Source organism: Homo sapiens, chromosome X (genome assembly GCF_000001405.40).
Source record: "Homo sapiens chromosome X, GRCh38.p14 Primary Assembly".
NCBI classification, from domain to species: domain Eukaryota; kingdom Metazoa; phylum Chordata; class Mammalia; order Primates; family Hominidae; genus Homo; species Homo sapiens.
Window position 1 is genome coordinate 154,423,769 of NC_000023.11, and position 12,869 is coordinate 154,436,637.

The 12,869-nt window shown below is 54.4% G+C and overlaps 1 protein-coding gene and 1 long non-coding RNA gene across 2 annotated transcripts, besides 2 other annotated features; one reads left to right on the forward strand and one right to left on the reverse strand.

The window, feature by feature from the left end:
- ATP6AP1-DT (ATP6AP1 divergent transcript) lies at window positions 612-4,711 on the reverse strand. Its single transcript, NR_103768.1, has 2 exons — window positions 4,360-4,711; window positions 612-857 (listed from the first exon to the last, which is right to left on the reverse strand). It is a non-coding gene; the product is annotated as an ATP6AP1 divergent transcript (long non-coding RNA).
- Window positions 4,625-5,126: an enhancer, noted in NCBI's record as "H3K27ac hESC enhancer chrX:153656739-153657240 (GRCh37/hg19 assembly coordinates)". NCBI's record gives its function as "activates a minimal SCP1, AML or CMV promoter by ChIP-STARR-seq in naive H9 embryonic stem cells {active_cell/tissue: H9 hESC(naive)}" and the evidence as "EXISTENCE:reporter gene assay evidence [ECO:0000049][PMID:30033119]".
- Window positions 4,702-4,811: a silencer, noted in NCBI's record as "silent region_21102". NCBI's record gives its function as "represses an Ori minimal core promoter by ATAC-STARR-seq in GM12878 lymphoblastoid cells {active_cell/tissue: GM12878}" and the evidence as "EXISTENCE:reporter gene assay evidence [ECO:0000049][PMID:35858748]".
- Window positions 4,909-12,748, forward strand: ATP6AP1 (ATPase H+ transporting accessory protein 1). Its single transcript, NM_001183.6, has 10 exons — window positions 4,909-5,085; window positions 5,280-5,406; window positions 8,062-8,136; window positions 8,498-8,691; window positions 9,163-9,203; window positions 9,867-9,952; window positions 10,440-10,678; window positions 11,371-11,418; window positions 11,506-11,737; window positions 11,914-12,748. Exons 1-10 carry the CDS (start codon window positions 4,925-4,927, stop codon window positions 12,121-12,123), a joined length of 1,413 nt encoding a protein of 470 aa, NP_001174.2. The 5' UTR covers window positions 4,909-4,924; the 3' UTR covers window positions 12,124-12,748.

Genomic DNA, 12,869 nt, shown 5'->3' on the forward strand with positions numbered 1-12,869 from the left:
TCCACTTATATGATGTACTTACCGGCTTCAGATCCAGAGTCAAAAAGTAGAAGGTTGGTTTCCAGGGCCTGGGAGGATGGGGGAATGAGAAATTGTATAATGGGGACAGAGCTTTAGTTTGGGAAGATGAAAAGAGTTCTGAAGATGGATGGTGGTGATGACTGTACAACAGTGTGAACGTACTTAATGCCACTGAACTGTACAGTTAAAAGTGGTTAAGGCCGGGCGTGGTGGCTCACACCTGTAATCCCAGCACTTTGGGAGGCCGAGGTGAGCGGATCACCTGAGGCCAGGAGTTTGAGACCAGCCTGGACAACATGGTGAAACCCCCATCTCTACAAAAAAAAAAAAAAAAATTAGCTGGGCATGTTGGTGGGTGCCTGTAATCCCAGCTACTCAGGAGGCTGAGGCGGGAGAATCACTGAAACCCGGGAAGCAGAGGCTTCAGTGAGCCAAGATTGTGCCATTGCACTCCAGCCTGGACAACAAGAGCGAAATTCCGTCTCAAAAAAAAAAAAAAAAAAGGCATTTCACAGAAGAGGAAACACAAAAGGCAGAGTGTGCATGGTATGGGTTTCCTGTGGCTGCAGTAACAAAGTGCCAGAGACTGGGAAGTTTAAAGCAACAGAAATTTATTCTCTCCCAGTTCTGAAGGCCAGAAGTCCGAAATCAAGGTGGCACCAGGGTGGGTTCCTTCTGGGGCTGTGAGGGAAAGCCAGCTCCAGGCCTGTCTTCTGGCTTCTTCCGGTGGTTCCCAGCAATGCTCCGTGTTCCTTGGCTTGCAGAGGTGTCATTCCAATCTCTGCCTTCAGCTGCGTGCAGTGCTCTCCTCCCTGTGTCTGTCTCTTTTTCTCCTCCTTTAAAAACACCATGCATTGATTGAACTAGGGGTCACCCTTATGCAGTATAACCTCACCTTAACTTGATTCTGTCTGCAATGACTTTTATGGGGACACTACTCAACCCAGTGCATATACTCTATGACCTAGCAATTCCCCACCTAGTTATATACCTATTGAAATGAACATCTATGTTTAACAAAAGACACATACATCGGCTGGGCGCAGTGGCTCACGCCCATAATCCAAGCACTCAGGCCGAGGCGGGCAGATCTTGAGGTCAGGAGATAGAGACCATCCTGGCTAACACAGTGAAACCCCGTCTCTACTAAAAATACAAAAAATTAGCTGGGCATGGGGGTGGGCACCTGTAGTCCCAGCTACTCAGGGGGCTGAGGCAGGAGACTGGCGTGAACCCGGAAGGCGGAGCTTGCAGTGAGCTGAGATCACGCCACTGCACTCCAGCCTAGGTGACAGAGCGAGACTCCGTCTCAAAAAAAAAAAAAAAAAGAAGAAAAAGAAAGACGTATACATAATTGTTCACAGCAGCATTAGCCATAACAGCCCAAATGGGAAACCAACCAAATGTCAACAGTTGAAGGACACAATCAATGGTGACGTATTCATCCAGGGGAATACTATGCAGCAACATTGTTACATGCAGCCACTTGAATTAATCTGCCAATGTTGAGCAAAGAATCTAGACACAAAATAATACTTCCCTTCAGAGTGGAGGAGAAGGCTGAGTGCGGTGACTCACACCTGTAATCTCAGCACTTTGGGAGGCCAAGGTGGGTGGGTCACCTGAGGTTAGGAGTTCAAGACCAGCCTGACCAACATGGTGAAATCCCGTCTCTACTAAATACAAAAAATTAGCCGGGCGTGGTGGCACATGCCTGTAATCCCAGCTACTCGGGAGGCTGAGGCAGGAGAATTGCTTGAATCCGAAGGTTGCAGTGACCCGAGATGGCGCTATTGCACTCCAGCCTGGGCAACAAGAGCCAAACTCTGTCTCCAAAAAAAAAAAAAAAAAAAAGAGTGGAGGAGGGAAAAATATTATACTGAATAATTTCCTTTATTTAAAGCCTCAAAACAGCCAAAACAACACATCCCATCATTTTTAGGAATGCATGCTTAACTGGTCAAACTATAAAGACCAAAGTGATTAGCAAAAGAATCAAGTTCATGGTCACATTGGGAAGTGATAGTAAGGGTATGAGAGGGGCTTTCAGGGCAATGATATTCAAATTCTTGACCTGGGTGATGCCATGGAACTGTCTGCTTTGATAAGCATTACACTGTACATCTTTATTTTGTGGGTTTTTTTTTTTTTTTTTTTTTTTGAGACAGAGTTTCGCTCTGTCACCCAGGCTGGATGGAGTACAATGGCATGATCTCTGGTCACTGCAACCTCTGCCTCCTGGGTTCAAGCGATTCTCCTGCCTCAGCCTCCCGAGTAGCTGGGATTACAGGCGCATGCCACCATGCCCGGCTAATTATCTTGTATTTTTAATAGAGACGGGGTTTCACCATGTTGGCCAGGCTGGTCTCGAACTCCTGCCCTCAGGTGATCCGCCCGCCTTGGCCTCCCAAAGTGCTGGGATTACAGGCGTGAGCCAATGCGCCTGGCCTACTTCTTTTCTTTTTTGGGTTACGTTTCACCATAGAAGTGCTTTTTTTTTTTTTTTTTGAGACAGAGTCTTGCTCTGTCGCCCAGGCTGGAGTGCAGTGGCACGATCTCGGCTCACTGCAAGCCCCATCTCCCGGGTTCACGCCATTCTCCTGCCTCAGCCTCCCGAGTAGCTGGGACTACAGGCGCCCGCCACCACGCCTGGCTAATTTTTCATATTTTTAGTAGAGATGGGGTTTCACCGTGTTAGCCAGGATGGTCTTGATCTCCTGACCTCGTGATCCGCCCGCCTCGGCCTCCCAAAGTGCTGGGATTACAGGCATGAGCCAAAGTGCCCGGCCCTTTTTTTTTTTCTTTTTTTTGAGATGGAGTTTCGCTCTTGTTGCTCAGGCTGGAGTGCAATGGCACGATCTCGGCTCACTGCAACCTCCGCCTCCCAGGTTCAAGCAATTGTCCTGTCTCAGCCTCCTGAGTAGCTGGGACTACAGGTGCCCGCCACCACGCCCAGCTAATTTTTGTATTTTTAGTAGAGACGGGGTTTTGCCATGTTTGCTAGGCTGGTCTCAAACTCTTGACCTCAGGTTATCTGCCCGCCTCAGCCTCCCAGTGTTGGGATTACAGGCGTGAGCCACCACGCCCAGCCAGGATTTCAATGAACAAAATGCTTTTACCCTAAAGATGAAGTCCCCAGACAGAAGGTGCTCATTGGTGCTGTCAACATTTGGTGATTGGTTCAGTTTAGATATCACCTCCTGGTGGGAGCAGCTTCATCGGTGCCCCTCTCCTTACATCCCTCCCAGTCCCATGTCTCAACCTTTGGAATATTCATGACCCTGTATCATGACCTGCTGTCCTGCATGTCCTCTAGACCAAACTGTCAACTTCCGGGGCAGAGTCCAGGTGCCTGGCCCATAGCAGGTGCTTCAGGAAGCCTCCAGGGCCATCACTCCAGGGACCCCTAGCAATGCAGGGAAGAATAAAAGCAGCCACAGGTGGGTTTCTTCCCTAAGCATGGAAGCAGCTCAGCAACAGAGTCCTGGCGGAGGCAAGATTGCCTTCCGCATTCCAGAGGAAGTATTTGCCTTGAAACTATGTAACAAAAGTAACAGAAACATAATAGACATGCTTTCCTTTTTAAGTTTGCTGGATTCTCCTGGGATACAGTGAAGCTCCAGTGAAAACCTCTCTCCTCAGCTAGTTAAGGCCTGGAAATGGCCACTTGGGGGTTTCCCTAAGCACCCGAAACTCAGTGAGCCCCCAAGTGACCTCGTCTCCCAGTCCCCAACTCAGAGAGACCCAAAAGCTACAATCTTCTTTGACTGTATTGTCAGACCCACTTCCTCTCTCCAGCTCAACTGCCACTATCCTAGTCCTAGTCTGAATCACATGTGACAATCATGACTACAATCTTTTTTTTTTTTTTTTTTTGAGATGGACTCTCACTCTGTCGCCCAGGATGGAGTGCAGTGGCGCGATCTCGGCCCACTGCAACCTCCGCCTCGCGGGTTCAAGTGATTCTCCTGCCTCAGCCTCCCGTGTAACTGGGACTACAGGTGTGCACCACCATGCCCAGCTAATTTTTGTATTTTCAGTAGAGATGGGGTTTCACCATGTTGTGCAGGATGGTCTCGATCTCTTGACCTCATGATTCGCCCGCCTCGGGCTCCCAAAGTGCTGGGATTACAGGCGTGAGCCACAGCGCCCGGCCCGTTAGGGTGTCTTTGATGCCACGCTTCGCTCTGGGTTTTCTCCTTCCTCTTTGATTGCTCCTTGTCCGATCTCTTTTCTGGACCCTTCTCCTCCTGCCCAATGTAAGTGCTGGGTGTTCCCCTAGATGCTATCCTGAGCCCGCTTCACTCCTCGTTCTAAGGGATTACAGTCTCCTCTCACCTGTATCAGGGAGGGTCCATCTGCAGGAAAAAGACACCACTTTTGCAATTTTAAGGAAAAGGATTAAAACAGGGATTGGCCGGGTGCGGCGATGCGCGCCTGTAGTCCCACTTTTCCGGAGGCTGAGGCGGGAGGATCGCTTGAGCCCGGGGACTCGAGACCAGCCTGGCCAACATAGCTAGACCCCGTCTCTAAAGAAAAAAAAAAGACAAAAGAAGAGAACAACAACAAAAAAACCAAAATAAAAATAAAAATAAAAACGGACGGGCGAACGCGTCGGGTGGGCGTAGGGTTCCGCGAAGCCTCCCTGTCCCTCTTGTCTCGTCCTAGTCGGTCTAGCTGGGCCCCATCCCCTTTCCCACTCGGAGCGTGAGCGCCTGGAGACACGTACAGCCAACCAGTGAGAAGGAGTGGCCGCGAGTGGCATGCACTTGGTCCAATTACCTGCGGCCCTGCCGGTCGGCCCGCGCTGGGGCCAATGGAGGTGCGAGGCGGGGCTCGGGCGGGGGCAACGGTCACCTGATCTGCGGCTGTCGAGGCCGCTGAGGCAGTGGAGGCTGAGGCTATGATGGCGGCCATGGCGACGGCTCGAGTGCGGATGGGGCCGCGGTGCGCCCAGGCGCTCTGGCGCATGCCGTGGCTGCCGGTGTTTTTGTCGTTGGCGGCGGCGGCGGCGGCGGCAGCGGCGGAGCAGCAGGTCCCGCTGGTGCTGTGGTCGAGTGACCGGTGAGCGGGCCGGGGTGGGATGCGCTGTGGCGGCTGAGGCGCCCTCGCCCGACTCCGGCGCTGTCCTAGGCGAGGGGTGGTGAGGCCCGGAGGTGGACTGTTCCTTGCTCGGGGGCTCGCAGCGAATCTGCCGGCGACAGAGCTCCAGTCCACATGCGCCCCCGTCTGACAGCACCTCTTCTGTGCCCTGCCAGGGACTTGTGGGCTCCTGCGGCCGACACTCATGAAGGCCACATCACCAGCGACTTGCAGCTCTCTACCTACTTAGATCCCGCCCTGGAGCTGGGTCCCAGGAATGTGCTGCTGTTCCTGCAGGACAAGGTGCGCCCGCCCCAGCCCACTCTCCCCCGGTCATCGGGAGGCAGCCAGGCCCCCTCCCCCCATGACACTGACGCCCATTCCCCAAGGGAAGCTTCAGTGACCTTGTCCCAACTGTAGGGAGGTGTGGGTCGTCTCATGGGAAGGCCTGTAGTAAACGCTTCAGTGGGCATGGCGACAGCCTCGGAAATGGCACCAACTTGATTGGAGGAAGCGACGGACCAGAGGCCAGGTACCTACTGAGTACCAAGCACTTTGGATATCTGACTTAGTCCAATATGGTGGGTGGGGATTATCGTCCCTGTTTGTTTATAGATGAGAAGACTGAGGCTGGAGGTTAAGTGACTTGTCCAAGCTCATACAGCTAATGGGTGGCAGAGTTGTAATTCTAGCTGTGATGATCATAATAATGATAATTGGAAAATGCTCACCTGTTTAGTGCTTTGTAGGCACTTGCTACACTGATGTCATTATCTTGGTTTCACTGCCAAGGAAAGTAAGGTTTGTCGAGATACAATGTTTCACTACAGTTGATAGATACCACTTTGGTTCCAGCCTGAGTCTGCCAATCCTCCCTCCCAATTGGAGCTCATAACCCGCATGCTGTTTTCCTTCCCATCCAGGATCTTTGCCCCAAAAGCAGGCGTGGAGACCATGAGATGACTCTAAGATAGCAAGTCTCTGCTAGGCCCTCCCTTGTTGGTGGCCTGTATGGCTCATTGCCCTTGTAGTCTCCCTTGGTTGCTGTGTGGGCAGATGGTGGTGGCCTGAAGTCTTTTCAGGAGGTGGTAAATAATATAGTCAAATAGGAACTGAGTCCTAGTTCTACCATGTAACCAGCCATTGGAGGCATGAAATAATCTTTGTGAATGACAGTTTCTACATCTGTAAAATGAAGACACCACCTATATCAGAGGGCTGTGAGTGGGAAATCTTTTTTTTTTTTTTTTTTGAGACGGAGTCTCGCTCTGTTGCCCAGGCTGGAATGCAGTGGTGCAATGTCAGCTCAGCTCACTGCACCCTCCGCCTCCCGGGTTCAAGCAGTTCTCTGCCTCAGCCTCCCGAGTAGCTAGGATTACAGGGCGCCCGCCACTACACCCAGCTAATTTTTGTATTTTTTTGTATTTTTAGTAGAGATGGGGTTTCACCATGTTGGCCAGGCTGGTCTTGAACTCCTGACCTCGTGATCCACCCACCTCAGCCTCCCAAACTGCTGGGATTACAGGCGTGAGCCACCGCGCCCGGCCTGTGAGGGGGAATTCTTATAATCCACATAAAACATCTAGCCAGGATCCCCCAGTCTTAGGGCATTCACCCATTCATTCATTTGCCCAATATGGAAAGCCTACTATGTGCCAGGTATTGTGAAGTGTTGGGGATATGGCAGTGAGCAGAAGAACCCAAGCCCCCACCCTCAGGAAGCTGACATTCTTGTGAGGGTGGCCAGTAAATACTAAGTCGGTATAGGATATGATGTCAGTGTTACGGCCTTTAGGGAAGGAAGCAGGCTAAGGGGACAGAGTGACTGGGATGCTATTTTAGATAAGGGTGGTCAGGCCAGGCCTCATTGAGGAGGTGATATATGAGCAGCGATCTTAATGGAGGGAGGGAGCCGTTTGGGGAAGGACATTCCTGGAACAGCAAATGCGAGGGTCCTGGGCGAGGTGTGCTCTTGGCCAGCTCAAGGAAGAGCTGGTGTGGCTGGAGCACAGTGAGTGAGAGAAAGGGGTAGGAGATGTAGGAGATGGTTTGCAGGTGGCTAGGCGATGAAGTAGGACCTTGTAGGCCATGAGGGGGAAGGTCAGTTGCAGTTCGAAATGTGTGAGAAAGCCTTGGGTAACGTGGAGCAGGGAGTGGTGTGATTTCTCAATTAAAGAAAGCCCACAGGACCCACCAGCAGTTCCTGGGCTTTCCGACTGAGAACCCCGGTGGCCAAACAGCAGCAAGGTCCTGCCCACAAGGGAGGGGAGGCTGGGCGAGTGTGTATACCAAACAGGTTAGGGAAGCTGATTAAAATCTCCTCAGGGCCTAACTGGGAAGGGCCAGAGGAAGCTGGGGATGGGAGTGGAGGGTAGGAGCAAAAGGACAAAGGACATCTGTAGGTTGTGGAGAAAAAGGGATGGGGTCGGGGCCACTGTGGTCCTAAGAGCTCAAAAGACTTCAATGCTCGATGCTTCCTCCAGCATGTTCTGAGATCCTCACCTCTCCCCTTCCGCCAAAAGCAGGTGGGGGGAGGGTCCCGTCCAGACTGGACATAGCCGACTCTCCTTTTCTCTGGCTGGGAGGCCTGCCACAAATGCTCTTGGCTGCCCCACCCCCTCCCCGCAGCTTCCCTGTTCCCTCCCCAGTTCCTCTTGTCTGTAGGGTGGGCAAGGCGGCTGACTCCTACTCCTGAGTTACCACAAGTCAGCTGCCTGCAGATCTCCCCACCCCATGACTGCCTTCCATGTCTTCTCACCCTGCCCTGAGAGTGCTGGAGGGAAGAGGTGAGTCTCCCACCCCACCCCCACCAACACACAGTTGTGCTCCACCATACTGAACCTGACTCTCAGTGAGACTTTGCTGGCCCTGAGAATGCACGGGGAAGGTGGCTGTCCCCTGCCTTGGCCCCCATCACTTGCCAAACCTCCTCAGATGTCTCCCCTATTTCCCTAATAGCTGAGCATTGAGGATTTCACAGCATATGGCGGTGTGTTTGGAAACAAGCAGGACAGCGCCTTTTCTAACCTAGAGGTGAGAGTCCTCTCCCAGCCAGGGGCCATGGGGGACATTCTGTGCTCCTTCTCCCAGCATAAGAACTGTACTCTGACCTCATATCAGGGTTACTTGGGTCTGAGTCTCTTCTGGGTCAACCATCCCCCCCAAAAACAACAACAACAACAAAAGCCACCTCATACTCTTAGGGAGCAGAGACGCTGGCTTTGGGGTAGAAAGGCCTGGGGCCTGAATGTCAGGGGCTGGGGTGTGGGCCATTTTCTTGGTGAGCCTTTATGGGTATGGCTTGCCAGAGGAGAGCTGCCAGAGAGGTGTGGGGGGCTGGGCCAGGCCCACTGGCCCCTGGCTAACTCACCTTTTGCCTCTCCCCTGTCCCCAGAATGCCCTGGACCTGGCCCCCTCCTCACTGGTGCTTCCTGCCGTCGACTGGTATGCAGTCAGCACTCTGACCACTTACCTGCAGGAGAAGCTCGGGGCCAGCCCCTTGCATGTGGACCTGGCCACCCTGCGGGAGCTGAAGCTCAATGCCAGCCTCCCTGCTCTGCTGCTCATTCGCCTGCCCTACACAGCCAGGTACTGCCCGCATGGCCCAGCCACCAGCCTCGGGGCCCAGAGAGCAGCAAGGCCCTGGGCTATGGCATGTGGTGGCACCGTTTGGCTAAAGATGCCAGTACTCCCCACCCCCTCACAGCCCTTCCAGAAGGTGCCCTGTGTGGCCAGAAGAGGAGGGGAGGGCCTCTTCTGTGACTCAGGAGTTGGTGCCTAGCACTGAGCTGGGCCTCCAGAGATGAGGCAGATGTGAGCCCTGCGGGTGGGGAGCCTTCTCACCTAGCCAGGCCCTTGTCACAGAGCAGGTGGCCAGGACTTGAGTGTGACTGAGAAGCCTCGGGGTGGGATGGGCTTCCAGGAGGGGGCACTGAGGTAAGAGTGTGCAGGCTTGGTGCGTGGGGCTAGTGGGGAGGAGAAGCTGGGGTCGGGGAAGGGTAGTGGGCAGTGCAGGTCCAGGCCGCCTGAGGACTCTGGCGCTCTGTTTGTCTTCCATAGCTCTGGTCTGATGGCACCCAGGGAAGTCCTCACAGGCAACGGTGAGTAGAATCAGGGAGGATGCACGTCCTCATCTAGCCCTTGGGTGGGGGCCACAGAGAGAGCTGGCCTGCAGTTCCTCGGCCTCCTCACTCCCAGGGTGGCCCGCCTGCTTCTCGGGGCAGCTGGCAGTGGAGCAGGGAAATGCTGGCTCCCAGGACCAGCCAGGGACCACCTGACAGAAGACCCTGTCCAGCCAGACCCCACTTGGCAGAGGGGGGCGGCTCTCTGTGCTGGAGGCTGTGGAGCCAGTTTCTGTGCAGGCAGCGTGAATCCTAGAGTTATGGGTTTAATAAGACTGCAGACATTTGGAAAAACAATTCTGGGGACTCATCTATTTGCAATAAAGGACAGTCACTCCCCATGGAAAGGCAGTCGTGAACCTTTCATGGGTGGATGTGGAGTTTTCTGTATTGATATGTATTTTCTTATGTCACATAGGTAGGGCTTGGCATTAGGGAATCGATGACTGAAGCCACAGTTGTCTCTGGGGGAGGCTGGGAATGGGGGTGGGATGAGAAGTAGCTGCTCCTAAGGATCCTCAGTGGAAAGTAAACACACCACTTTCAGATGGTCTAGAAGGTTTCTAAAGCAGACAGTGGGGAGTGTTTCTTTATGCAGGGTGCCTGGTGACCTGAGTCTCTGCTCTCCTTGTTGACCCTCAGATGAGGTCATCGGGCAGGTCCTGAGCACACTCAAGTCCGAAGATGTCCCATACACAGCGGCCCTCACAGCGGTCCGCCCTTCCAGGGTATGTGCCCTTCCAGCAGGGGCTCTGGGGCGTGCAGGGAGAGGCAGTGTGGTGAGTCTGCTTGGAGGTGGGGAGTGTATGCCACAGGTAGGCTGCCCAGGAGGCCCAGCATAGGGGAAGCATGAGGCACAGAACCCCTGTGGTGTGACTATTTGGAGTGGCTGACTCTGGGGGCAGGGCTAGGATGAGCACTCAAGTCCTGCCTCCCCATTCCAGGGGCAGCTTTCCATCTCGTCCTGTGAGGCTTGTGGGTGGCAGACTTGGACACTAAGTCTAAATGACCCTAAGTTTGAGGGACTAGGAATGTCATCAGGGTTTAGGGGGCATCAGGGAAGGCTTCCTGGAGGAAAGGTCTCCTCTGGCTGATGGGACTTTGAGATAGTGGACAGGGTGTCCTGTTGGGAGGGGAAGGAGGGCACGACAATTGGGTTCAAGTGTGACACTCTCCCAGGGCTGCTGAAAGAAGGCTGGTTGGGTGTTTCTGCAGGTGGCCCGTGATGTAGCCGTGGTGGCCGGAGGGCTAGGTCGCCAGCTGCTACAAAAACAGCCAGTATCACCTGTGATCCATCCTCCTGTGAGTTACAATGACACCGCTCCCCGGATCCTGTTCTGGGCCCAAAACTTCTCTGTGGCGTACAAGGACCAGTGGGAGGACCTGACTCCCCTCACCTTTGGGGTGCAGGAACTCAACCTGACTGGCTCCTTCTGGAATGACTCCTTTGCCAGGCAAGGGCACTAGGCTGGGGAGGACTGTGCCACCACAGGTGACCTTCCCATCACTGTGGGTCGCAGGTGGGGCAGGGAGCCAGGGTCAGGTCTGTGTTTTGGGGTGGGGATGGCCATGGTCTGGTTGGGGTCTGGGCAGCGTGAGGATGTAGGAGGTGTCATGGCATGGGGTGCTGTTGGAGGGGGAGTTGCTCAGACTTCTGCCTCCCCATGCTTGCGAGTCTTTGGTTGGGACCTTGGTTGTTAACACCTCAAGGTTACCTGGGAACCTGTCACCTCCCCCTTGAGCAAAACCTCTGGGACTTTGTGTGGGCAAATACCAGGCCAGCTATCTGAGCCATTTATGGGGCAACCATGCCCTTCTGTTTGCTCTCGCCCCCAAAGCCCAGCCCAGGCACCTTAGTGACCCTAAGAGGGAGTAAAAGGAGGGGCAGTGAGCTCAGGGGAACCAGAGGAAGGACCCCCATGCTGGTGGCAAGGGGGACCTGGGTCCTGGCTTCCAGCTCTGTTCCGACCTTGCAATGTGACTGGATCCTCAGTTTTCCTATCTGTCAAGTGGGGACACTGCTTCTTCAGGTGGCTGCAAGGACCCAAGGCAGCTTAGGTAGGAGCAGAGCTGAGGAACTTGTTCCTCTAAGATGCCAAAGGCCCTCCCAGAGCCTCACAGTGCGCCTCTTTCTCTGGCCCCACAGGCTCTCACTGACCTATGAACGACTCTTTGGTACCACAGTGACATTCAAGTGAGTCCTGGGGGTGGTTGAGGTATGGGTGGGCTGGTGTGGCCCCAGCCTCCCCAGCTCACCTGACATCCCTGCCACCTTCCCCAGGTTCATTCTGGCCAACCGCCTCTACCCAGTGTCTGCCCGGCACTGGTTTACCATGGAGCGCCTCGAAGTCCACAGCAATGGCTCCGTCGCCTACTTCAATGCTTCCCAGGTCACAGGGCCCAGCATCTACTCCTTCCACTGCGAGTATGTCAGCAGCCTGAGCAAGAAGGGTAGTCTCCTCGTGGCCCGCACGCAGCCCTCTCCCTGGCAGATGATGCTTCAGGACTTCCAGGTATGGAGCGGGCGTGGCCCAGCTTCAGGTGGGGGAGCCCAGGCTAGTGGTTGAGAGACGAAGAGAGGCTTGGGCTTGGGCATGTAGTTGAGAGTCCTGTCCCTGCGCTGCCCCTGTCCCAGTTCTTGCTGGGCCTCCCAACGGTCCTTTCTGACCCGTGTCTGTGTGTCTGCCAGATCCAGGCTTTCAACGTAATGGGGGAGCAGTTCTCCTACGCCAGCGACTGTGCCAGCTTCTTCTCCCCCGGCATCTGGATGGGGCTGCTCACCTCCCTGTTCATGCTCTTCATCTTCACCTATGGCCTGCACATGATCCTCAGCCTCAAGACCATGGATCGCTTTGATGACCACAAGGGCCCCACTATTTCTTTGACCCAGATTGTGTGACCCTGTGCCAGTGGGGGGGTTGAGGGTGGGACGGTGTCCGTGTTGTTGCTTTCCCACCCTGCAGCGCACTGGACTGAAGAGCTTCCCTCTTCCTACTGCAGCATGAACTGCAAGCTCCCCTCAGCCCATCTTGCTCCCTCTTCAGCCCGCTGAGGAGCTTTCTTGGGCTGCCCCCATCTCTCCCAACAAGGTGTACATATTCTGCGTAGATGCTAGACCAACCAGCTTCCCAGGGTTCGTCGCTGTGAGGCGTAAGGGACATGAATTCTAGGGTCTCCTTTCTCCTTATTTATTCTTGTGGCTACATCATCCCTGGCTGTGGATAGTGCTTTTGTGTAGCAAATGCTCCCTCCTTAAGGTTATAGGGCTCCCTGAGTTTGGGAGTGTGGAAGTACTACTTAACTGTCTGTCCTGCTTGGCTGTCGTTATCGTTTTCTGGTGATGTTGTGCTAACAATAAGAAGTACACGGGTTTATTTCTGTGGCCTGAGAAGGAAGGGACCTCCACGACAGGTGGGCTGGGTGCGATCGCCGGCTGTTTGGCATGTTCCCACCGGGAGTGCCGGGCAGGAGCATGGGGTGCTTGGTTGTTTCCTTCCTAATAAAATAAACGCGGGTCGCCATGCGTTGGGCCTCTTGTCGCTCATTTCTGCGCTGGGCTTTAGGCGCGTGCTCGCCGGAGGGATGCGGGAGGATGGAGCCTGGCGAGGGGGAGGCGAAGAGGCATCCGCGGAGACCGGGAGGGGC